This window comes from Homo sapiens, chromosome 12, assembly GCF_000001405.40.
Source record: "Homo sapiens chromosome 12, GRCh38.p14 Primary Assembly".
In the NCBI taxonomy this organism is placed as follows: domain Eukaryota; kingdom Metazoa; phylum Chordata; class Mammalia; order Primates; family Hominidae; genus Homo; species Homo sapiens.
The window spans coordinates 24,322,081-24,346,535 of NC_000012.12; the positions used below are offsets into that span (position 1 = coordinate 24,322,081).

At 36.7% G+C, this 24,455-nt stretch overlaps 1 protein-coding gene across 20 annotated transcripts in view; it reads right to left on the bottom strand.

Moving 5' to 3' along the window:
• The window catches only part of SOX5 (SRY-box transcription factor 5), a 1,033,147-nt gene that overhangs the window by 792,577 nt on the left and 216,115 nt on the right, over positions 1–24,455 (bottom strand). For 3 of the 20 annotated variants that reach the window (XM_047429461.1, XM_047429457.1, XM_047429459.1), the window contains one exon: positions 9,197–9,316. The exons of the other annotated variants lie outside the window; for them this stretch is intronic. The gene's annotated coding sequence lies outside the window, so the exon portion shown is untranslated. The remainder of the gene's footprint in view (positions 1–9,196; positions 9,317–24,455) is intronic. 20 annotated transcript variants of the gene reach the window in all.

Below are 24,455 nucleotides of genomic sequence, written 5' to 3' on the forward strand. Positions count from 1 at the left end.
GTTTGATTCCCATCTGTCAACTAAACAGCAGTGAGATCAAATTCATCGTTCAATTTCTAAAGCTGTTTATTAGTTATATGCTTAATTATGGCATTTTAGGAATCTCATTCATGACATGAAAAAAATCAAGATAGTAACATGCTACACCGATGGTAAATCTAAGATGAGATGTACACATTTTGTTTCTCATTGCTGGCATACACTATCATTATTAGCAGACTGTACTTAAGCACTCGCCTAAGGTGCTATCTTTGATGACAAGCTAAAAAAATCACCTCCCCCTAGATGGAGACAGGCATTTAGAAAGCATAAAAACTAAAGATAACAAAGTCTGTGCTAACTACTATTGCTGATGAGCAATTGTTATGACAGAAGATGACGGAAATAATGGCATCTTTGAAAATATGTGTGTGTATGCACACGTAAGTGTGTCCTCTTATCCCTTCTAGTATAGATTGCTCTTACAGGCTGACCTAAATTTTCTTTCCTCTTGTAAAAAGTCTGAAACTGTTATGTTGGTGTCTCAGTGAGCTGACGTTTCTCACAAACATTATACTGAATTATCACACATTTTCTCTGTGTTATACCTTTGACAACAAGTTAAAAGTGGAAGAAAAAAATCTATCTGCAAACAAGAAACCTCTGTTAATGAAATTCTGCATTACATAGTCAACCTTTAGCTTGAGGAAGAAATCAAACCCATACTCACAAAAGGATGAAGTGAGAGTGTGGACCAGACAAAGTATCAAATAATGTTGTTGTTGTTTTTTAAATAATCTCCCAACATTATTTTTGTCCCACTTTCTAGTCATTATAACCCCAAAGGTTCAAATTTAAAATCAAGCCTTTTTCCCAATTCAAACACAAACTATGTGTTACTACTATTTTATTAAGGTTTTTTGTTTTGTTTTGTTTTTTTAAAACAATTTCATTCAATTTTATGAGACAGCCCTTATCTAAGTGTGGTCTCTGGTCCAGCAGCATCAGTATTATCTGGAAAATTGTTAGAAATGCATAATCACAGAACCCACACCAAACCTGCACATTTAGAACCTATGGAGGTCATTAATCTGTTCTAGTTAAGCCTTAAAATGATTTTGATGTACCATTGTGGTAAGGCAATGTAATAAATTATTCAAATAAATGATTTCATTCATTCTCAAAATAGTAGGGTAGGTTGATAGAACAAAATAAACAGGTAAGGGTATGTAGCTGATTATATATATATGTATATATATATATGCACATATATAACATTATATATTAAGTTAGTTATATAATTAGTGATAGACTAGTGTCAGAGTGAGATTCAAAATTCTAGACACAAGTTATATTGGTTTTCTAGCACATACACTCAAACTCTAAAACCATTTCTGTAACTTCAAAGAACCATTTTTAATGTCAAACAAAAAAAGCAGCTTTTTTATAATGTATTAATCTCTTTATAACATGTTTTAAAAATTAATATATTACAGAGAATATTCCAAGTAATTAAAAATCACTGCTATCTTTTAAGTGTTCATGAGGAAAATAAAAATGCCCTTCTAATTGCTGTCAAGTTGGGAGTATTTTATTACATTTTTAAATATTAGAAAAATGCAAACAGCTTCCTGAAATATTGAATAGTGGGTAAAAAGGCCACAAGCCCAGATATAGCTGGTTCTTGGGATTGGGAAGGTGTAATGCAGGGATTGTACCTAGTATGCTGGTTTTAATTTTTTTGGTGGTGGCAGGGGAGACCAATAAAGTTTATTTATATTTCAGATGGAGGAAGAGGCCAAAAATTTACAAGGAGAGCTAGTGTCACTTCCTTAGCTAAGTTTCTAAATTTCTTGGGGAAAATGTTCAATTAAGAAATACAGGGAATGCCTCACTTATTAAATAAATGTAAGAAATGATTATGTATAAACAATGTCTGCCACAAATTACAAGGGCAGCTTAGTGAAAGCAAATGGACTGGATCGTCCTTTGCTGTCAGTTGCTCATACTCCACGCTGCTAAGAAGTAGAAAGGAAGAAATAATTATGGAATTGGGTCTTATATTTCTTCAAATTTTATTTCAAACGTCATTTTGCTTGAAGTTAGTTTTGAGATGTAGCAATTAGTAATTCAGCATTTTTCATAACATTAGTTCATTAAAAGTTTTGTTTGGAAAAATCCCAGTCATATTCACAATGTTCTACTTTTCTGGGTGAAAAAAAAATCAAGGTTCAGATTTCTGTATTTCCATAAATTGCCTTTGGTGAAAAGAAATGGATACATATATTAAACTGATTCCAAGACAAGCTATCTTCTGTCTCTGATCAGACGTCTGTCAAACTATCTGTCTCTTATTCGATCTTGAAATTCTTCTTTAGAAGGACTATTTTACGTGGGCAACTCTATATATAGTTGCGACATTTATTCCTTTTTTTTTTTAAACAAAGAAAAGTTTTTGCAATACTTTATCACAAAAGTTAACCGTACTGACATTCTACCTGTTTTAAAATACTTATTTAAAACTCTATATCCTCTCATATTTGTGACAAATATATAGCATAGTAGTTAAAAGCCCAAAAGATAAAGCTAAACTATCTATGCTCATAGTCTTTTCTACATTCAGTAGCTCTGTGTCTTTAGGAAACTTACCTAACTTCCCTGAACCTCAGTTTCTTTGTATGTAAAAAGGAAATAATAACAATACCTACCTCATAGGGTTATCATGAAGTTTCAACGAATTAATACATATGGGATATAGCACAATGCCTACCTCCTGGGAGGTAGTCAATAAAGGTTAGTTATTACTTTAGTTAGTACCTTTTAGACCTAGAAAACTTACTGAATCTTTTTAAGTTTCATATTTCTCATATATTATAATGTAAATATTTACTCTTTTTTCCTTAAACTACAAACCAGAAATTAATAAACATATGAGGCACCAAGAGTGAACCAAACAGTTGAATTTGGATATATTGCTTTCCTGAATAAAAGGCATGATAATTCCAGGTCTAGCACAGACATATAATTGTGTCACCTTAGAAAAATTACTTAATCTCAGCACTTTTCAGGTTAAAAAATTATTTGTAAAAATAAGTTAAAAAAAAAACCCTAAAAAAGAAAGAGCATTAACTGAACATAATAGAAAGTTATACACACTAAAATTGTTTACTGTAAGGATGAAAAAGTAGGCTTTCAGTTGGGCTGATACCATGAAAAATTTAAAAGATATATATCCATAGATGAAAATTATGAGTGCAATCTTTTATAGTTTATTTATGACAGATTTTAGTGCCTAACACATTTTTAAACAAATCAATGTTTATCATATCTCAGATATGATATTTCAGAGACATCTCAGATAGTTGCATAAAGAAAATAGAGAGGGAAGAACCGTTGAGAGAAGCAGCAGGAAGACCAAGATGGCAGGATACACAATGAGCCTTGATTTAGAAAAGGACGGGACAACTGCCAATAAGATCTCAGAGCTTCCCCTCAATGAAGAACCGAGCCACCCAAAAGCATATACTAATACATAAAGAACAGTAAAGAATAACTTTATTCTGTGTCTACAGAGGAAGAAGGGGAACATGCATTTACATGATAGTGGAAAAGACATGTTTTAGATATGATATAAAAAAGGACATTCTCCACTGTGTGGGTTGTTAGAATTGAAATAAATCCCATAATTAGCAAGAATGAGAGTTCCAGAATGAGATGGATAACCATTTCCCAACTGGGGGCAATAAAGATTCTTGCACAGCCTTGTAATAAGGATTAAGTAAGAGAGCACTTTAGGTAAGGGTGATAATACTATCCATACTAGGGGTTGCGCACACGTGCACGCGCGCGCGTGTGTGTGTATGTTAGATAAGATGTTCGGTACTTGGCATTTGCTATTTATTAAGACTTGTTAGAAAAACTTTAAGTCCATTCTGGTTCAAGCATTTACTCATTCTGTAACTGTGAAGGACAACCTCCTTATCTCTCAGGGCCCAAGTTTCATCATCTCTAAAACAAGGACCTTAAAACTCATGTGGCAAGCTGGTGAGAACAAAATAACTTCTGTACAGCATCTGGCACAGAGTGGGTGGGTACCTAGTAAAACATTTGCTTCCCTTTTCTTACTCTCTCCCAAAAAAACTAAAGAAAAATCCTCCATCATATTCATGCCATTCCTTATATATCTAAAGCCATACAATATTTCTCCTTAAGCTGAGCATTTGCAAAGATCAAAAAGATTAAGACAAACAATCTAGGATGCAATTTGGAGGAGGAACGAATATGGTAGCAAATCCTTCCTAACTCCTCATATAGAACTGACTACATCCTAATTGAGGGCTCACTGTACCCTTAACAAACCTTTATGACTCTTACATACCTTCATTTGATCGCACTTGTGTATGTTTATCTATCCCTACTAGACTGTAAGCTTCTTTGTCAAAAGAATGAGTGTCTGGCATATAGTTGGTGAGTAAATATTTTTTGAACGAGGTTATGAAGCGGTGCTGTGCTTTTCCTTACAATATCCAGCATGTTCCCACTCAGGGTTTTGCAACTGGTGTGACCTCTACCTTGAATGTTCATCTCAGATACGGGTATGACTCCTGCCCTCACCTTTTTCAGGTGGCATCCTAAATTTCACTTACTTTCTCAGCAAAGCCTTTCCTAGCTACTCTATTTAAAATTTTGTGTTTGTACAGGTCTACCCACCCACCCATTCATACACACACATACACACACACACACACACAGGTCTACCCACCCACTCATTCATACATACACACACACGTGCAACCTGTCTTCCTTTCTCCATCTACCACTCTCTGCCTTTTTTACTTGCATTGGTTTTTCCATCATCTGTCTTCCCCTCTTAGAGTTTAAACTTCAGAAAAGCAGGAGGTTTTGTGTTTTTTGCTACTACCTAGCATTTGGCACAGCGTCTCAGACACAGTAGGTGCTCAATAAATATGTTGTATGAATGAATAAATTTCACAATGGCATAGCATTTGGGAAAAAAAGAATGAGTACTTTTGATGAATAACAATAGGACATTGATAGAAATTTAAAAATTACGTGATGATTAAGCTAATCCTTTAATATTATATGACTGCTCAGAACTCATTTTCTGTTACTGATATACTGCAGTTTTAATTTTCCTCAAACAAAGGAGCTTTGTTTCTTCTCATGGGAAACTAACTTAAGATTTATCTTGTATTGAGTTATCCCAGTGTTTCCTTATTAACAAAGATCAAAGATATGCTGAAAATGTCCATACAGATGACGCAGGTGCACAGAAGCAGAAATGAAGGGCTAGAGCAATGGAGACTTTTTTTTTTTTTTTTTTTTTTTTTTTTTTTTTTTTTTTTTTTTTTTGAGATGGAGTTTTGCTCTTGTTGTCCAGCCTGGAGTGCAACAGCATGATCTCGGCTAACTGCAACCTCTACCTCCCAGGTTCAAGCAATTGTCCTACCTCAGCCTCCCAAGTAGCTGGGATTACAGGCATGTGCCACCATGCCCAGCTAATTTTTATTTTTATTTTTTTTAGACAGAGTCTCGCTCTGTCCCCCAGGCTGGAGTGCAGTGGCGCATTCTCCGCTCACTGCAAACTCTGCCTCCTGGGTTCACGCTATTCTCCTGCCTCAGCCTCCGGAGTAGCTGGGACTACAGGAGCCTGCCACCACGCCCGGCTAATTTTTTTATGTGTGTGTGTTTTTAGTAGATATGGGGTTTCACCATATTAACCAGGATGGTCTCCATCTCCTGACCTCGTGATCCGCCCGCCTCAGCCTCCCATAATTTCGTATTTTTTTTTTGGTAGAGCTGGGTTTCACCATGTTGGTCAGGCTGGTCTCGAACTTGTGACCTCAAGTGGTCCACCTGCCACAGCCTCCCAAAGTGTTGGAATTAGAGGCATGAACCACCGCACCCAGCCGCAATAGAGACTTTTGAATGTGAGTGTCAGAACTAGAACTCGGATCCTCTAACCAAACCTCAGTACACTTTTAACCACATCTATCTTTCTACAAATGTGATTTACAATAAAACCTAAGTCAGATTCATTGCCCACATGGTATTGGTGCCATTTAGACTATATTATTTGTTAGCTGGCCAATCTAAACTATTCAAGAAGGCAAAGATCTATGCATGCTAGCAAATCCTATTTCCTGAATATGCCCTCCTCTCAACGTCTATATTTGAAACCTTAACAATATGTCCACCTGGACTTCTTGGAGGGCTCTGGTTTGCAGGGACAATATATGCTTTGGTTCATCTATGGAACAATCAGCTTAAGAAGTTGTATTCAGATATTATTAATGTTTTCAAACCCACTTCCTATTTTCCTACTGAAATCCCTGCCAAGCACACACTTCAGCAGACACTAAAATAATTTGGGTAGTTGACATTCAATCCAAATTTTCTATGGAAATCTGCCAGATTTGACATCTGTGAGAAAGTGGGTAATTTTTATTATCCACAGAGAGCAAAAGCTTGGTTTGATATTTCTCTACCTCCACACATCTCCCTGTAGTGGAGCTGCTACTCAGATATCCACAAAAAGTGGTTAGTGAGGAAAATTATTTAACCCTTTCACCCTTGTCAGGATACAGCAAAAGCTCAATTCAAATTAATTTTAAAGTAACAATGGAAATGGATAAAACAACTTTTGGAGGTGTGGGAGATGCAAACTACCTTTATTATTATCATCATTACTTTTGCCTAAAAACTATTTATGCTTTATCTGTTGTTTTAATACAACTGCTTGTCTTTAAAGTTCCCTTCATTTGGTCTAAAACCTTAAACCAGAATTTCAAATTAACGTTATTGTTAGAGTCCTTTTTCAAACCCTAATAATATTTGGCTCTGTAGTACTACAGAAACATGCTTAAAAATCATACAAAATATTTCTATTGGTATTACATTTTATTTCCCAAGAATTAAGAACTAAGGTATGTATTAACACTTAAGGTTTCTCTAATCTCTTTTAAAGAAAGAGATAAAACTGGATATTCCCATGTGCTTATAGGTCATATACTAAAATGCTACCAAGGTTTATATTGTAAATAATGTTACTTTAGTTCACTACAACAAAAGAGGTTTCCCATCTTTTTATTACAATCTAGTAGTTTAGCATTATATATTAGTCTGTTCTCACACTGCTATAAAGATACTACCCGAGACTCGGTAATTTATAAAGAAAGGAGTTTTAATCGACTCACAGTTCTACATGGCTTGGGAGGCCTCAGGAAACTTACAGTCATGATGGAAGGGGAAGGTATGTCTTACATGGCGGCAGGCGAGAGAGAAGAGTGTCCAAGAGAAGCAAAAACTGCCTTATAAAATCATTAGACCTGGTGAAAACTCACAATCATGAGAACAACATGGGGGAAAAGGCCCCCAAAGTCCATTCACCTCCCACCAGGTCTCTCCTTCAACATCTGGAGATTACAATTCAAGATGAGATTCGGGTGGGGACACAAAGCCTAACCATATCAAGAATGTTTCCAATTAAGAAATTAAAAATGATTATGGTTCTATATTGGTTCTACACTGACAAAGGTTTAAAAGTAGGTCATGGGAATACAAAAGCATGATAAATTATTCATTTACAATAATAAAATGGTTGGTGATGTGTTGTTAATTTTCGATATAAGGGAAAATGGTATTTAAAATATATAGTTAAGGCTGGGCATGGTGGCTCACACCTGTAATCCTAGCACTTTGGGAGGCCAAGGCAGGTGGATCATCTGAGGTCAGGAGTTTGAGACCAGCCTGGCCAACATGGTGAAACCCCGTCTCTACTAAAAATACAAAAATTAGCCAGGTGTGGTAGAACATGCCTGTAATCCCAGCTACTTGGGAGGCTGAGACATGAGAATCACTTGAACCCGGGAGGCGGAGGTGGCAGTGAGCTGAGATCGTGCCATTGCCCTCCAGCATGGGCAACAGAGTGAGACTCTCTCTCAAAACAAACAAACAAAAAGTATAAAATTAAAAACCTAAAAGTATCCACCAATAGAATTACGAATAGAATATATAACTCCCAAACCACAGAAGAAAACATAAAATAAGAAAAACATACCTTCAACAAAAAAGAAGAGAAAAAGGGATTAAAAATAAAAATGCAGACATAAAAAAATTTCTGCCAAGTAAAATTAACGCATCAATTATGACAATACATGTAAAGTTAAATTCCCTGTTGAGGGAAAAGAAAAACTTAGGTTGGCTTAAGAAACAAATTCAATCTTATTTTTGTATAACAGGTATACCTAAAAGAAATGTTCAAGATGAAAGGAAAAAAAGGGGGAAAAGCTCGTTTGTACAAAGGTGTGATCTGGGCCCATGGACAGGATGAAGGCTGCTTTCTGAGACAGTGACAGAGAGAGAGGAAAATCTGATTATGCTGCAGCCATACTGGAGTACAGTCAGGACCTTCATCTCTTTTGGGTCAAATCCTGCCTGAGTGTCCTTGACAACCCTCAATAATAGTGTGGCCATGATATCCTGTATTAGCTTCACTAGAGAGCCTATTTCCAAATTCTCTATCTACCAGGCCCCACTTAAACGAAAGTTTCATGAGGGCAAGCATTTTTCCAAGTTCAGTTCAAACCTCTATCTTTGGAAACAGCTTGGCACATGGTAGACATGACAAGCATATGTTTTGAATGAATGAACAAGAATATGAGTGAATATGTCTGCACAGCATGCTAGAGACCTAAACACAATCATTTGATTGGAGTTATCGCCTCTGAAATTCCACTGAGATGAGTAAAAGCATTTTCTAAATGTTGCAAACCAAACACTGAAGAATCAAAGAGGGAGACCATCAATGGACAAGAGATTTCACCAAGTTTCTGGAAGATGGAAAGCAGACGGAGTTACAATGACTGATGAAGCAGCCACACGCTAATATATAAACATACAAGGCTGCGGCTAAATGGGGAGCCAGTCTCCCCGGAGCTCCAGCACAGGAGTTACTAGGTACCAAAAAGGAAAAGTAAGTAGTGGGACAGAAAACAGGGGTACTCATGGAAGTGCTGGGTAAGAAACAGTCAGCTTCCCAAGTCCCATATTTATCCTCATGTAAAAAAAAATTTGCCAAAGAAATTGTCCGAGCTGTTAAAAAAAAGTAGGCCAGCTGGTATGGAAATTAGCATTCCAGAGTGAAGTCTTCCCCATTTGACTTTAGCAGTCTTCCAAGGTAATGCAGTCAACTCACCTGCTATTTTTAGCTCAACGTCAAGCCCCACATTTGTAACTAACTTTTGCAAATGCTTTTCTATTGCCTCATTCTTGAATAGGATGGGCAGCCGTAGAGTACGTAATTTCTGAGAAAAACCTACAATACAAAAAATAAACAACAAAAGCACTTTGGAATTTATTAGTAGAAAGGAAGAGATATTTAAAATATTTGATTTAGGACTTAATCATTCTTACACTAGGGAATATATGACACTCATGAAAAAGGAATAATTGGAGAACCAAAAGAACCCAAGAAATTTAAAATACAGGCCGGGCGTGGTGGCTCACACCTGTAATCCCAGCACTTTGGGAGGCCAAGGTGGGCAGATCACGAGGTCAGGAAATCGAGACCATCCTGGCCAACATCATGAAACCCCACCTCTACTAAAAATACAAAAATTAGTTGGGTGTGGTGGCACGTGCCTGTAATCCCAGCTACTTGGGAGGCTGAGGCACGAGAATCCCTTGAGCCCAGGGGGCAGAGGTTGCACTGAGTTGAGATCATGCCACTGCACTCCAACCAGCCTGGGAACAGAGCAAGACTGTCTCAAAAAAAAAAAAAAAAAAAAAAAAAAAGGAAAGAAATTTAAAATACAATCACTGAAAAAAGGTGAAATTAAGTATGTAAAGTAAAAGGTGTGAATGTTTTATAGAATATAAAAGAAACACCCAGAATATTTGAGAGAAAAGATCAAGACTGCATATAATATGATCACAACAGAAAGTCTAAGAACCTGTCAGTTCATCTCAAAAAACAAGAAAGCATAAAAGGAAGGATATTACTGAAGAAATACCATAGTACTTCTTAGAACACAAGAAAAAGATAAATCTTATGAATGAAAAAAGATGCATATCTATAATGTCAAGGTTAAATTTCAGAACACTGCAGATAAAGAAAAGATCCATAACACTTATAAAGAGGAGGAAAAAACCACGTTACCTCAAAGGAACATGAATTAGCCTAGGATCTAATTTCAGCAATACTGTATGCTAGAAGTCAGCAGAACATGACTTTAAAACTCTGAAGGAAAATTATTTTGCATTTTGAATGTTAAGCTTAGTCTTGCTATAAATCAGCTGTGAGGGAAAAGAACAATACTTTCAGATAGGCAATATCTGAGAAGGTTTAAATGGCCTGTAACTGAGAAAGTTACTTGACATGGTCCCCAATACAATTTAGAGAGTAACTGAAAATAAGCAAGAAATAAAAAGATATGGAGTTTAGGAATCAAGAGACCTAACATAACAGGCTAAAAATAAAAATTAAAAAATAAATCTAAAAATAAAAAATAAAAAGTAGGCTTATTTATGAAGACAATCGAGGTTTGAAAAGGAAGGCAGAAAGTATACAGGGAAGAGGAAATGGTTAGAACGATAATTTTATTGAGAGTTACTAACAGTAACTGAGAGGATGTCGTAGAGGCAAGTCATAGAGTATATGAACGTAGTGACCATTTGAAATCTACACTGACACTGGACCCCAGAGAGCAGAAATATCACAATTACATATTGGTTTCAACTTTTAAAGCCCACCTATAGACAAATCATGGAAGATTTAAGTATAGTAACCATACAGAAAATAAACATTGTAAACTGTGATAATATAGAAGTGTTGACAGAGCCAAGATAGGAGCAGGAATCTGTTCATCCTGCAAAGTAACTAATCAAGAAAAATTATCTATGATTGGTTTACCAAGAAACAGTGGTTCAATTTGCTTAAAGATTTTTGGAAACAAAAACATCAAAACGCGACAATATTAGAAAAAACAAATACATGGAAAACTATAAAAAAAGAGTTATGATATTACACTTTGCAGCCAAATTTTTCCCCCAGTAAAGTTTCTAAGAATGAAGATAATGAAATATCAAAAAACAAAGAAAGCTACCATATTCATATTATTATGCTAGTTTAATACTGATGCTAAACTGGACAAACTTACCAGCAAAAAAAGTATAGATGATGATTTTGAAGTTTAAGTAAATTTATAACTATAATATTTTCTTAGAATAAAAATGTTTGGAAGCTCAATATGTAAAACAGATTAAAACAGTAAGTTCTGATCAAAGAGGCAGCAAGATTACTATGTAGACCAAGCTCATGTATGAATACAGATGGCAAAAGCCTAAACAAAATGCAGATAAACTTAACGGGATCTTAAGAGATTTATCCACTAATCTTAAGGAGAGCTTATGACTAGTGTATATATTATTTTTAAAAATTCACATCAGTATGATCATTTTACTAGATGATAAAATGACATTTTAAAATACTCCAAAATCCACTCAATACTTAACAGCAAAAACTCTTAGGAAATAAAAAATAGAAGTATGTAATTCCTTAACATGATAACAGCTTTCTGTCTTAATACAACAGGCTAGCAAAACACATGAATCCCTAAAAATACATTATACCACTAATATCAGTAAAAAGACAAAGTTGCCAGGTTTCAATATTGTTAGTTAACTTTTTTGGTTGTTGTTAATGCTATTCCAATAATAATCCCAATGGAGATTTTTGGATATTTTATAATGTGTCTAAAGTTCACCAAGTTAAAAAAAAAAAAAAAAAGGTAGGGGGAGAAACATCTTGAATAAGATTTATTAAGAAGCTATATGGACTGAATTAATGATGGTACTGGTGCAAGAATCAATAATCAGATCAATTTAATAAAAACCAATGGAATCAACTTAATATAACCCTGAAACAAATTCTATCATATATATATAATAGATGGGTTATTTAATGAATGAATTGGGGAATACAGTTATTTGGGAAATACTCATACTATATACTATATACCAAATTAAACAACAAGAAAATAAAAGAGTAATTGTAAAACAAAAAATAAAATCATTAAATTTAGAAAATTAGAAAAAGGTATATGTGATTAGTTATATTTTCTGAATACAAAAACAACAGAATAAGTTAAAGAAATAATATAGATTTTAGTGTAAACCTAAACATTTACATTGCATAAATTTAAAATTAAACGGCAGATTAAAGACTGAGAATATATGTATAATCAATGAGGAAAACTGTAATATATTAATAGGACTTAAAATCATATTCTATATCCCCCAAAAAATAAACAAAGGATGTGAACAGAAAATTCACAGACTAGGAAATACAAATGAAAATATACAAAAAATTTAGCTTCACTAAAAATCAAAGAAGTTTAGAATTAAAATAAAGGGATGCCTTTTATTGCCTGTCGTTTTGCCAAATGTTAAAATGCTCAATCCTGGCAAAGGGACAGTGAGCCTAGCACTATTTTATACTGCCAATGGAAAGTTACCAAAAGCCTAAGGGGCAATGCTCATGCCCTTTGATTTAGTTCCAGTTCTAAGGATCTGCCTTTACAAAATAAGCAAAGAAGTAAACAAAGTTTTATGCATACAGATATAATTTACAGCAAAACATTAGAAATTGCCTAAGTGCTCACCCACAGAAGAATGGCCAAATCAGTACATCACATATACTGGAATACATCCACATGACAACAAAGCATTAAAAGTCTCATTAACTAATTAATCTTATGGAAAACTGATCAAAATCAATTAAATGATAAATGGAATATTTTACACCATATTTACAGTTACAATCCCAATTATGTAAAAAAAAAAAATAGAGATCTGGATGAAAATGTATAAAATAATAATGAATTTTCTCTGATATAATGTAATTTTGTTTTTACATTATTCCTTATTTTCCCAATTGTCTGAAATATGAAAATAGTTCTTTCACCCTAAAAAAAATCAAAACTATTTTGATACAATAAAAGAATTATTAAATCTTAGCTTTTTTGTCTTCAATTCACCCATTCTAATGCTACAAACCACAATGAACTCCTTAGCATCAAGGAAGACCAATTTCTCTTTCACCTCTAGGTTCTTTGACCTCTCTCAACAAACCTGAATGTTCACAACATGCAGCACATACAACTTCCTTGTAGCTATTTCAGAGGGGCCCAAAAAAACAGCTCTTGCTTCCTTCTCAAATCATTATCCATCCATTACACAATTAAAAAAATCTCTGTAAGAGGGCATTGCCTTTCATTTTCATTTTATTATAACAATCACATTTTAACAATAGCCTTTATTGAGCATTTAGTATATGCTAGGTACTAAGTGCAGCACACATTATCAACTTACCTAATCCTCCCAACAACTATTATTACCCTCATTGTACAGCATAGGAAACTGAAGATAAGTGAGATTAAGTTACTTGTTGGAGGTCCCTTATTAAGCATGTGAGACAAAGAAATTTGAACCCAGACAATTTGGTTCCAGGACCTTAACGACCATGCTGTCCCGTTTAAAATGCAAATATCCTTGGAGGAATTAAAATATTTACCCAAATTTACATTAAAGTGTGAGAGGCTTATCTGTTTTTAGGGAAGACAGTGCTGGCATTTTGAAAACCAGGCAAGTGACACTTAGAAATCTATAGAAAAGTTAAATTATGATCTTAAATATCAACCTCATTAATTTATCACTGTTCTTAAGCTCACATAAAAAAAAGTTTTCAGACTAGGCACATTCTCTCATAGATTCTATTTACAACTGTCTGCTGTTATTAGTCAAATTTTCCATATAATTTCAAGGCTCAGGAATTGGAATATTTTATAAAGTATATTTTCAATAGTTCCTGGGTCCAGGCTAGAAATGCTATCATATATATATATATATCCATAATATTAAATTTTTCTTGTTGGTAACATGCAATTGACACTATTTCCTAAATTTAGACCTGAAAATAAAATATGGGGATACGTTTTTTTTGTGTGTTTTTTGTTTGTTTGTTTGTTTTTTTGAGACAGAGTCTCGCTCTGTCACCCAGGCTGGAGTGCAGTGGTCCAATCTTGGCTCACTGCAAACTCCATCTCCCAGGTTCATGCCATTCTCCTGCCTCAGCCCCCTGAGTAGCTGGGACCACAGGCGCCCGCCACCACGCCCAGTAATTTTTTGTATTTTTAGTAGAGACGGTGTTTCACCATGTTAGCCAGGATGGTCTTGCTCTCCTGACCTTGTGATCCGCCTGCCTTGGCCTCCCAAAGTGCTGGGATTACAGGTATAAGCCACCGCGTCCAGCCGGGTATATGGTTTTTTACGTCAAAGTTCAGCATAACACATCAGACAATCATTCAACACTGTACCAAGAATGTTTTGAGATTGGGGGAAAGATCAGTAAGACAGGATTCTTGCACCAAAGAACTGAGAGGCAAGAAAATCAAATAGGACATTTTTACATGAAGACTCAAGCATATCATTCAGGTGCAACTGAATACAGTATTCAAACATTTAAGAAATTTTCATACAGTGAAACTCCTTACTTTCATAAAGTACTCATTACATAAACCATCTTGCTTTACTACCTAAATATAGTGTGCTAAAAAAATAAAAGAAGAAAGAAAATGCCCTCTCCCTGTTAAAGACATATGAAATATAAAACTAAAATATCTGAGAGGGAGAAGATGAGAGGACAACCTGTAGGCATAGCTGTCGCCATAGAACAGTAAATACAATCCTCTTTATTAAATAAAAACCTAATTGAGCCGGGGATGCAGGTGGGGCCCAGTTATTTCATAGTCAAATGCAAGTCTTTGGGCATTTTCTGAGCAAATGAGCTTTGTAAAACGACCTGCATTTGCCAAACTACATTATTCTTTTGTGGAACCAAATTTGTGCAGTAGAAGTTTAAGATGCACGTGGATGCTTACTGAAAGGAAATTAAGAGTATGAGATCTCAAAATTCTCTGTCACAGTCAATGATTTAGGTGGCAAGGAGACCGTCAAATTACCAAAGCTTAACCAGAGCAATAATTACCCACTATGTATTCTTGGAAAAATCAGAGAGTAGTGTCTCCTGAGAGAAAATTAGCAGGTTTTTTTTGTACACATGGCTTTCAACATCTGAGTAAATGAACAATATTCATCTTACTTTCTATAAATCAGACACTATTTCTAGTTCACAATCCCCAGATGTATCATTAACATCATAATCTAGTTTATTGGCATTACACCTCTAAATCTGATTTTTCTTTTTTTTTTTTTTAAGAGAGAGAGAGTTTCACTCTGTTGCCCAGGCTGGAGTGCAGTGGCGTGATCTTGGTTCACTGCAACCTCTGCCTCCCAAGTTCAAGCGATCCTCCCACCTCAGCTTCCCAAGTAGCTGGGACTACAGGTGTGTGCCACCATGCCCAGCTAATTTTGTATTTTTAGTAGAGACAGGGTTTCACCATGTTGGCCAGGCTGGTCTTGAACTCCTGACTTAAGGTGATCTGCCCACCTCGGCCTCCCAAAGTGCTGGGATTACAAGCATGAGTCACCACACACTCGGCCTGAATCTGAATTTTTTTGCCTCTTTTAAGTTCGGTAGACATGTATTACATCAGTTCTTAAAAATGACATTGCCATAAAATAATCAGTTTTAAGAGTGACACTGTCGTTAATGCTGGAAAGGAAATTTTTGCTAATACGTAGACCTTTAAGGCACTGAAACGTTTTCAATATTATTTTTAACAGATGAACTATAAGTAGGTCACACAATACGAAAACTGTATGTGGAATGATCTGGTATTAAGAAATGACACAAGAACTTTCTAGAATCATGGAATCACAATGTGACACACAAAATTTTTTTTGCACTAAAAGATGAGTTTTTCTTCTAGACTGAGATGTACTCCAAGTTACTTTTAAATATAAAATTTAAAAAGTAAAATATCTTAAAATCATTCAAGAAATGTCAAAGATCTTCCCTTTCTCTGGTTTTTGAAACACAAATATAAGTAATGGAAAAATTTATTTATCTAGTTGAATATAAATCCTGTAAACCCCAGTATCATTGACTAATTTCCAATAATTTTTATTAATAAGGCCTGCATTTATAAAAAATTTATTTTATAGCTATCATAAATATTACTGTATTGGTCATTTGCTTAGATATTTTAATTATTTCCTACATTTTATAATACAAGTTATTTGAAATCATTAGTGGACATACACAATACGATGTGTTAAAAATGCTAAAAGGCTGAGATACCTGTAAAATGAGACAAGAGTAGATAAGCATGTGCTCTGTTCTTCATGTAAAACTCATTCCATGTTATTCTCTAAAGAGAATAGGGGCGAAAAATAAAGTGAAATGTAGAAAAGTGAAATGAATATATTATACTTTTTGGACCTGTAATTAGGAAATAAAGTTGATATTTAATGCTTGTAATGGTGTTTGTACATCAGGTTGTATTTTTTTGGTTGACCTGAGTCATTTCTGGATTTTGTATTCAGGTTGTGATATGGTTTGGCTATGTCCCCGCCCAAGCCTTACATTGAACTGTAGCTCCCATAATCCCCATGTGTTGTGTGAGGGACCTGGTGGGAGGTAATTGAATCGTGAGGGCAGTTTTTTCCCTGTGCTGTTCTCCTGATAGTGAATAAATCTCATGGGATCTGATGGTTTTATAAAGGGCAGTTCCCCTGTACACGCTCTCTTGCCTACCACCACGTAAGATGTGGCTTTGCTCCTCCTTCGCCTTCCATCATGATTGTGAGGCCTCCCCAGTCATGTGGATGTGGAACTGTGAGTCCATTAAACCTCTTTTTCTTTATAAATTACCCAGTCTCAGGTATTTCTTCACAGTAGTATGAAAATGGACTAACACAGGTTGATTATTCATTCTTATTTATTTCACAAATATTGATTTGTCAATACTATATGCCAGGTAGTATTCTAGGGGCACAGTATAAGGCTGAACAAAGAAGCCAGCTTCCCTCTTTTGGAGCTTACAGTCTAATGGTAAAACAGACATTATACAAATAATCCCTGCCTGTCTGTCTCTGTTTCTCTCTCTCTCTCTCTCTCTGCCACACACACACACACACACACACACACACACACACACACAGAGTTACTGAGAAAAAGTGCAGGATGCAGCCCAGTAGACATATGGAGTATGTGTGGCATGAATTTGACCTCCTCTGGAGAATCAAGAAAAGATTCATGGCAGGGCCCTTCATCACAGCTGATGGGCATGAGTATGATGGGATAAGGAGCAGCAGCAGAAAGAGTGGCACATTCTAAGCAGAGGGTACAACATGTGTGTGCAAAGGCCTGCAGGTGAGAGGGGCATGATGGTTACAGTAGAAAAAGCAAAAAATATAAATGGCATGATATGAGGTCACAGAGGAAGCCAGGTAGGAAACTGTAAGCCTTGTTAGAGATTGGGGGACTTATTCTCAGTGCACTGGGAGCCATCGAAGAGTTCTGTAGAAGAGAGAATCAAATCTGCATTTTTCAAAGATCACTGGAGACAATGGGGAAAACAACAAAGAAATGATTGTATAAAAGAAAACTGTTATGTGGCAACTACATCAGTATAGCCAAAAAATGTTGGTAACTCACACTAGAATTACAGTGGTGGATGTGACAGAAGTGGATATTTGAGACACAATGGTAATCAGATGTAGGAGGTTCTGGCGTGTGCCACAAAAGTTCCCCTTCAGGAACCAGACAGTCATTTCCCCAGCTATAAGGAAAGTTGGTGCAGAGAGCTTACAATTGAGCCACTTCTGGAAAGAGGAAATTCCCTCAGCTGAAAGGCACTGCCTCCCCCAGGGTATTATCCCCCCTGGCTGTAGCCAATACCCAGCATCTGAATGTGAGGGCATGGGGCAGGGTGCTAGCATGCTAGGGTGGCTTGACCCACTGCCTCAATTAGGGACACTGCTGAGGGGCTGGCCCTGCAGAAGAGTCTTGCAGGCCACCATCAGCCCATGTCCAGTCCTGTTAGCCTCCTCTCTTACAGAGGCTCCCAAGAGCATCTTCAACAACTCGCTGGCACATAGTCTCCCTTTTAGAGTCTTTTTCTGGGGAACCCAACCTGAAACAACATACAAACGTTTTTTTCTGTTTGTTTTTAAACCACGCAAGTTATATCACACTCATTACTGAATAATCTGCTTTGAAAGGTAGTGTATTTACAGAAAGGATATTTTAAGATTATCCCAAACCTAGTATTAGGCTGAATCAAGTTAAGTTAAACATAACTCAACATGACAATAGTATGTCAAAGCATTGGCACCCAACTTGCTATCCAGGGAACTAAAATTCGAGACAGAGACCAGCTTGACACAACGAATCCACCTACAGATTCTTCATTTGTTGGTTTCCCACTAAAACAAGTAAACATTGCCATTTAAATATCTGGGAGCTAAAGCTGTTGAGCAAGTTTCTGAAGCTGGTGTGAACCAGCAGACACTAAATGGGCTTGTCTGATCTCTACAACAGAGCGTTCAGCCCAGTGATTTGAGCACATCCTTTCTGCTTCATTGGTCACCAATGAATTTTCTATTAAATTCAATTGAGTCCAGCACTCTTTTTAGCCCTTCTCTTTTGAGGGAAAGACCAATGTTGTTTAAAGGTCTCACTGAAAAGCAGAGTCCTTTGATTGAAACCTCAAAAAAGACTCTATCAAGAGCACACCTTTTAATACAGAGCTACACACTCACTTATTTTAAGCCCAGCAAGGGAAGCCTAATTGTCTGAAGGATTTTTTGTTGTTGTTGTTAGTTCATTTTGACGAAGTGCACATCGCCACTGAGGTGGTTAGAATCTGAGGAAAGGACTCAACAAGCCCACTGATCCAATGTATAAATTTAATGTACTCTGTGCGTCTAGCTCTAACAGCCATCTGGGCAACCACATACCAATTTCTTGCATTTTTTGGTTCTTAGGGCCTACTAACACAGAAAAAAGCCACAGTCTTATAAAAATGTCATAGTACAAAAGTCCTTGGGTTGTGAGGTAATTTCATAAGATGGTTAATCTACTCGTGATAGTTTTTCAGTTTGATAAGGTAAGTGGGAGTAAATGCATCTGATTAATAGTAACAATTCAGGCCAGGCATGGTGGCTTATACCTGTAATCCTAACACCTTGAGAGGCTGAGGCAGGAGGATCACTTGAGCCCAATGGTTCAAGACCAGCCTGGGCAACACAGGGAGACCCTGTCTCTATAAAAACATTTTAAAATTAGCCAGGCATGGTGGCATGTGCCTGTAGTCCCAGCTACTTGGCAGGCTGAGATGGGAGGATTGCTTGAGCCTGGGAGGTGGAGGCCGCAGTGAGCTGTGATCACACCACTTCACTCCACCTGGGTGACAGAACGAAACCGTCTCAAAAATTAATAATAAATCAAATGTCATGCTTTATTGATTCTTTACTTTTATAATCACAACTTTTAAAAATATATATTTAGAGATATGCCTGTAAATAATGGTTGCTTTCAGACGATACTGACCTGCACCATGCACTGTTTCTATCACAGGAAGTCAAATCCTGCAAATAACATTTCCCTAGTTTCCAGTGCTAACTAGCTTCATATCAGAATTCTCTAATGAGAGAAACTGGCAGGATACAGTAAATGGGATGAGAGAGAAGGCTTCTCTGTCCGCTTCAGGAAGCACCTTCAACAATAGTGGCTTCCTTCAAGATCCACCCATGCAACACAGCCTCCCTGAGAGGGTAGCTACCACCTCTGGTCCAGTGCCCAGTGCCCACTGGGCAGCTTTGGCTCCTGGGTTCTGGTAAGGCCACCTCCTCCGTTGGTTGCTCCAGCACTAAGGGTGGTGGTAGCTTCTGGCTACTGATAGTCTCCATCTTAACTAATCCCCAGTATTAAATCCCCTCCATAAAACTATCTGACATAAGATGTGCTTTCCTGATTGACCCTCGTGGACACACAGAGTATCTACAATTAGCTTAAAATCAGGTGCCAATTTACTGCCACATATGGTTCTCAGGTTTGTTTTCAATTCTTTCTGCCAACAACTTGTAGGAAATCTCAAGTCATAAACAACATCAACATTATGGTTAACGTCTCAGATCAGCCCATAAACTCTGTCTGACTCCATAATACACCAGAAATGAAATGTTTCTTTGAGCCTCACTCCTGATGCTCTTCTTTTCTCACCATTGCATTCACTCTTAGTGACCACATCCAAATTGTTTCATCACCAATTTCTCACCAAGTCTACACCTCCAATCTAGACCTTTTTTTCTGAGATCCAGAACTAATATACCTTCATTATCCTATTAGATCTCTCCATCTGGATATCCTACATGCAATACAAATATATTCTATCACCAAATGAACCTATTATATCATCCTGTCAAATTTATCCTTTAGTTATTTGCTATTCAAATCTTCCTAGTAACCAAAGTCTGAAACTTGACATAATCCTATGATCTCCCCTTTTCCTTCATATCCAATCGGCCACTAATTCGTATAAATCATAGATCCTTAAGATTTCTTACCTATCTTCCTTATTATCTATTCCTCCTGCCATTGCCTTAGTTTAGAAATGCATCTCTTCTTGTTTGGGCCACTTCAACAGCTTCCTAACTGACCTCCCTGACTTTGGTCTTTCTACCTTTCCATTCAACCCCACAATGCAACCAGAGTGATCTATCAAGTGGTAAATCTGATTATACCATTCATGAAATTTGTATTTATTTAAGAGATCCCAGGAGCATTTAGAATAAAGGGCGAAATGGTAAATAGAAAACCTTTTTTATCTGGCTCACACCTAATTTTCTAGCCCTATCACTTCTCAATAGCTATACTTCCTGTTAGCCATATCAAACTTATTTCACCAAGTATGTCGCTAAATACTTACTCAACATCACTAATGACTATGGCATGAAATGCCCACACCCACCTTTTTAAACTAGTAGTAACTCCTCATTTTCCTAAAAGCAAGTTTAATAGTCACCTTCACAAAGAGAATGTAGGGAAGTAAGGGGTTTGCATTATGGATCTAAAGTATCTGCTGAAGTGCGTGCCAGCCCAGTGGCTTGTACCATGTCCTAGAAGTCCAGGTTGGCTTTCAACTCACCAACTTTGTCTTCCTCCACTCTCTGTGACAGGTCTGCCTGTAACAATTCTCTACAGGTTCTTCTGTCTATAATTTATCCCCTCTACTTTACAATCTGGATCCATGTCATGGAAACAAAGAGCAGTAGAGTAAAACGGCTTGCTCCTTGGGTCCCTACATCCCCTTGCTCCAATTCATGCCCTTTTCTATTGGAACTTCAGTTCACTTCAGGTAAGCTAAACTGAGGACACAAAATAAATTTATTTATTTATATATATAATAGGTATATATTATATATATATGAGACAGACATAGATTAATATGGACATAAATATAAAGTATATTAGATAGAATACATATATGAAGCCATCTAAGATATCTGTGGAACTAAGCCAGGTACTGTATCACGCAGTCTTATGTCTTTAATCTGCACTCAGCTTCAAAATTTGGTAGATTTTTGGCTTTTCCATTATTATATCCCCAATCCCAAGGACAGTATAGGTACATAGCACATAATTATTTACTAAACTAATAATTGAATGAATGTTCCTGCCAAAAAAATAAGCTGCTCTGACTGAGTCACAGGTAAGAAGTTGGAGGGGCTGATTTGTGGGGAAGGACCAAGGCAGAAGTAGGAAGTGAAGAAAGGTATTTGGTGAGGACAGGAGAAGCAATGCTGTAGCCAGAAAGCCGACTGTAAGTTGTGATAATTGTTAACTTGGGGAATTTTGGCAAAAAATCTTAGTACTACTTTATAACTTTGGATGACTTAAGAATGTAGGGACTTGAGAATAAGTTTTCATGTTTATCAGAGAAATAAAAATCACATAGGCCGGGTGCAGGGGCTCACACCTGTAATCTCAGCACTTTGGGAGGCCGAGGTGGGCGAATCACAAGGTCAGGAGATTGAGGCCATCCTGACCAACATGGTGAAACCCCGTCTCTACTAAAAATACAAAAATTAGTTGGGCGTGGTGGGACATGCCTCTAATCCCAGCTACTGGAGGAGCTGAGGCAGGCAAATCACTTGAACCAGGGAGTCGGAGGTTGCAGTGAGCCGAGATCGTGCCACCGCACTCCATCCTGGCGACAGAGCAAGACTCTGTCTCAAAAAAAAAAAAAAAAAAAAAAAAAAAAATCAAGTAAGATACAAATGGTGCCTTAAAATTCCTTTTAAGTTCCTTATCCTTTCCATGGAGTGCTCTCATTGCTGCTTGGCCAGTTTGCGATTTGGTATCTGACACAGATGGGAACAACGTCGGGGAGAAGCTCTGACATGTCTAAGGACTGCTGGTCCAAGCTTCCACACTGGCGATGAACATGGATCACAGCTGTGCCACTGTCACACCTTGAAACATGACAACACAAAGCCACAGAGACCAGCCTCTGTGAGCTGACAGAAGAGTCTAAATCTTTTTCAAACATTCAAATGACTATCGTTCTCACCAGTGATGAGAAGCTTCTGTGCTCCTCAGGTGGAGTGGAATTTGCCAGCTGAAAGGGATGTGCTTGGGTGGTCTCTTGTGAGAGCACGCCAATGTGCTCTGAATAACCGAAAAATATTTTTGACAAAGGTCAAAAAAGCTTCAGACAGAAATACGAAACAAAGGCTTGTACTTTAAAAGCAAAACTTGGGAGGATGTTGATTTTGCACCCAATCATATAGCATCTTATTGAAAATGTACTCTTATCAGCAAATGGAACTATCTGAGCCCCAGTTATAAAAAGGAAGCCTGGGCTGCTTATAAAGCCCATCAAACTCATATTAAAAAAATGTGTACACATGAAAGTCTTTTAAGGATTAAAGAAATTCTTATTTACTCAGGTCAATTACATGCTAATAGCCAAGGAAAGTTCTTCCCTTTAAATGCACTGTCATCTTGCAGAGCTGTGCTTCTCAAACTGGAGTGGTCAGTCATACTCCTGAGGATATATGGTGGTGTATGGGGTAAGAGAACGTCACAGGTGAAACAGGCCATAACTTTCTGGTATATTAGACATGGAAAACAAAATTAAATAAATTCACTGTAATGTATACATTTTATTTTAGAATGAATTCAGCTATACTGTGGAACAGAATGCAAAATTCACAGGTATTTTAACATAAATACTAAAAGTTCCCAGGCATTTCACTTTCTAAGACTTCAGGTGACCAAACCTTCAAGCCTTCCTTTGCCTACACCAACTTCCAAGCCAGCTCAAGTTCTTGGTCCATGAACCCTCTCCAGGGACTTGTAGTCCATCTAGCACTTTTTCTCTACTGGTTTTCCACTAGCTATCCAAGAAGCACTTTCTTGCTCTATTGTTTCATGTTTCAGATGGATCTTCCAAACTATTTAAAAGCTCGTTGAGAACAGGGTAGTGGTCTTTATATCCCTTTGACCATTACCTGTTTATTGATTAGATTAATTATTATCAGAGGTAGTTTTAATAAGAATATGAATATTGATACTCCCAACGGAAAAGTATAAAATTAATATTGATAATTTTGAAAGAATTATGATGATTGCACTTAAGCATTCATCCTTAAACCTAAAATACTCTAAAATACTATTTTCTTCCATGTTATTTCTTTTTAGTAGTTAAAATTCTTAAGTTGCACATGGATAAACTGTGAAGCTTATCCGTACTTCACTGAAGGCATTAATAGAATTGTCGTGAAGGAGAATGAATGGCATTCAGCTACTGTTGGCTTTGTTTGGGGCTTGTTCACAGCAGCTGCACACTTATTCTGTTGCTCTCTAGGTACACCTTTCCTTCTGTTCTATTACTACTACACATTAGTGTCAACAAGGGAGCCCAGGTTCCATAAATCACTCACACTACCCTGTCTCTATGTTGGCTTATCTGATCCAAATACACTTATACTTCATCAACATTAAGTTTCAACTGTTCACGTCATCCCGTTAAGAATGTATTTCTGCATTACTTCAAAGTCAAACTTCCAATCTTCTAGATTCAGGTCCTTTTATTGAAATGCGGGAAAACGAACGTCATCCATGCATTTAGGGAAATTTTCCCAGAATCCTTCCATATTACTGATAATCTGAGACAAATGTCATGTGAGATGTGGTAAGAAAAGTCAGATGAGAAGTCTTTTAGAACCATTGTGCCAAGCTGAACCTTGAATAGCAGGGAAAAATATTTCAAAGGAGGATAAAATTTCCAAACATATATGAAATAGAAAAATGTACTATGCAGAATATAGCATAAATGTATTCACAGTCTATTCAAATGGATAGGTCTTCTTCAGAGTTATCAATACTTTATTTTTGGAGTACTTTTTTTTTTTTTTTTGAGATGGAGTCTCACTCTGTTGCCTAGGCTGGAGTGCAGTGGCGTGATATCAGCTCATTGCAACCT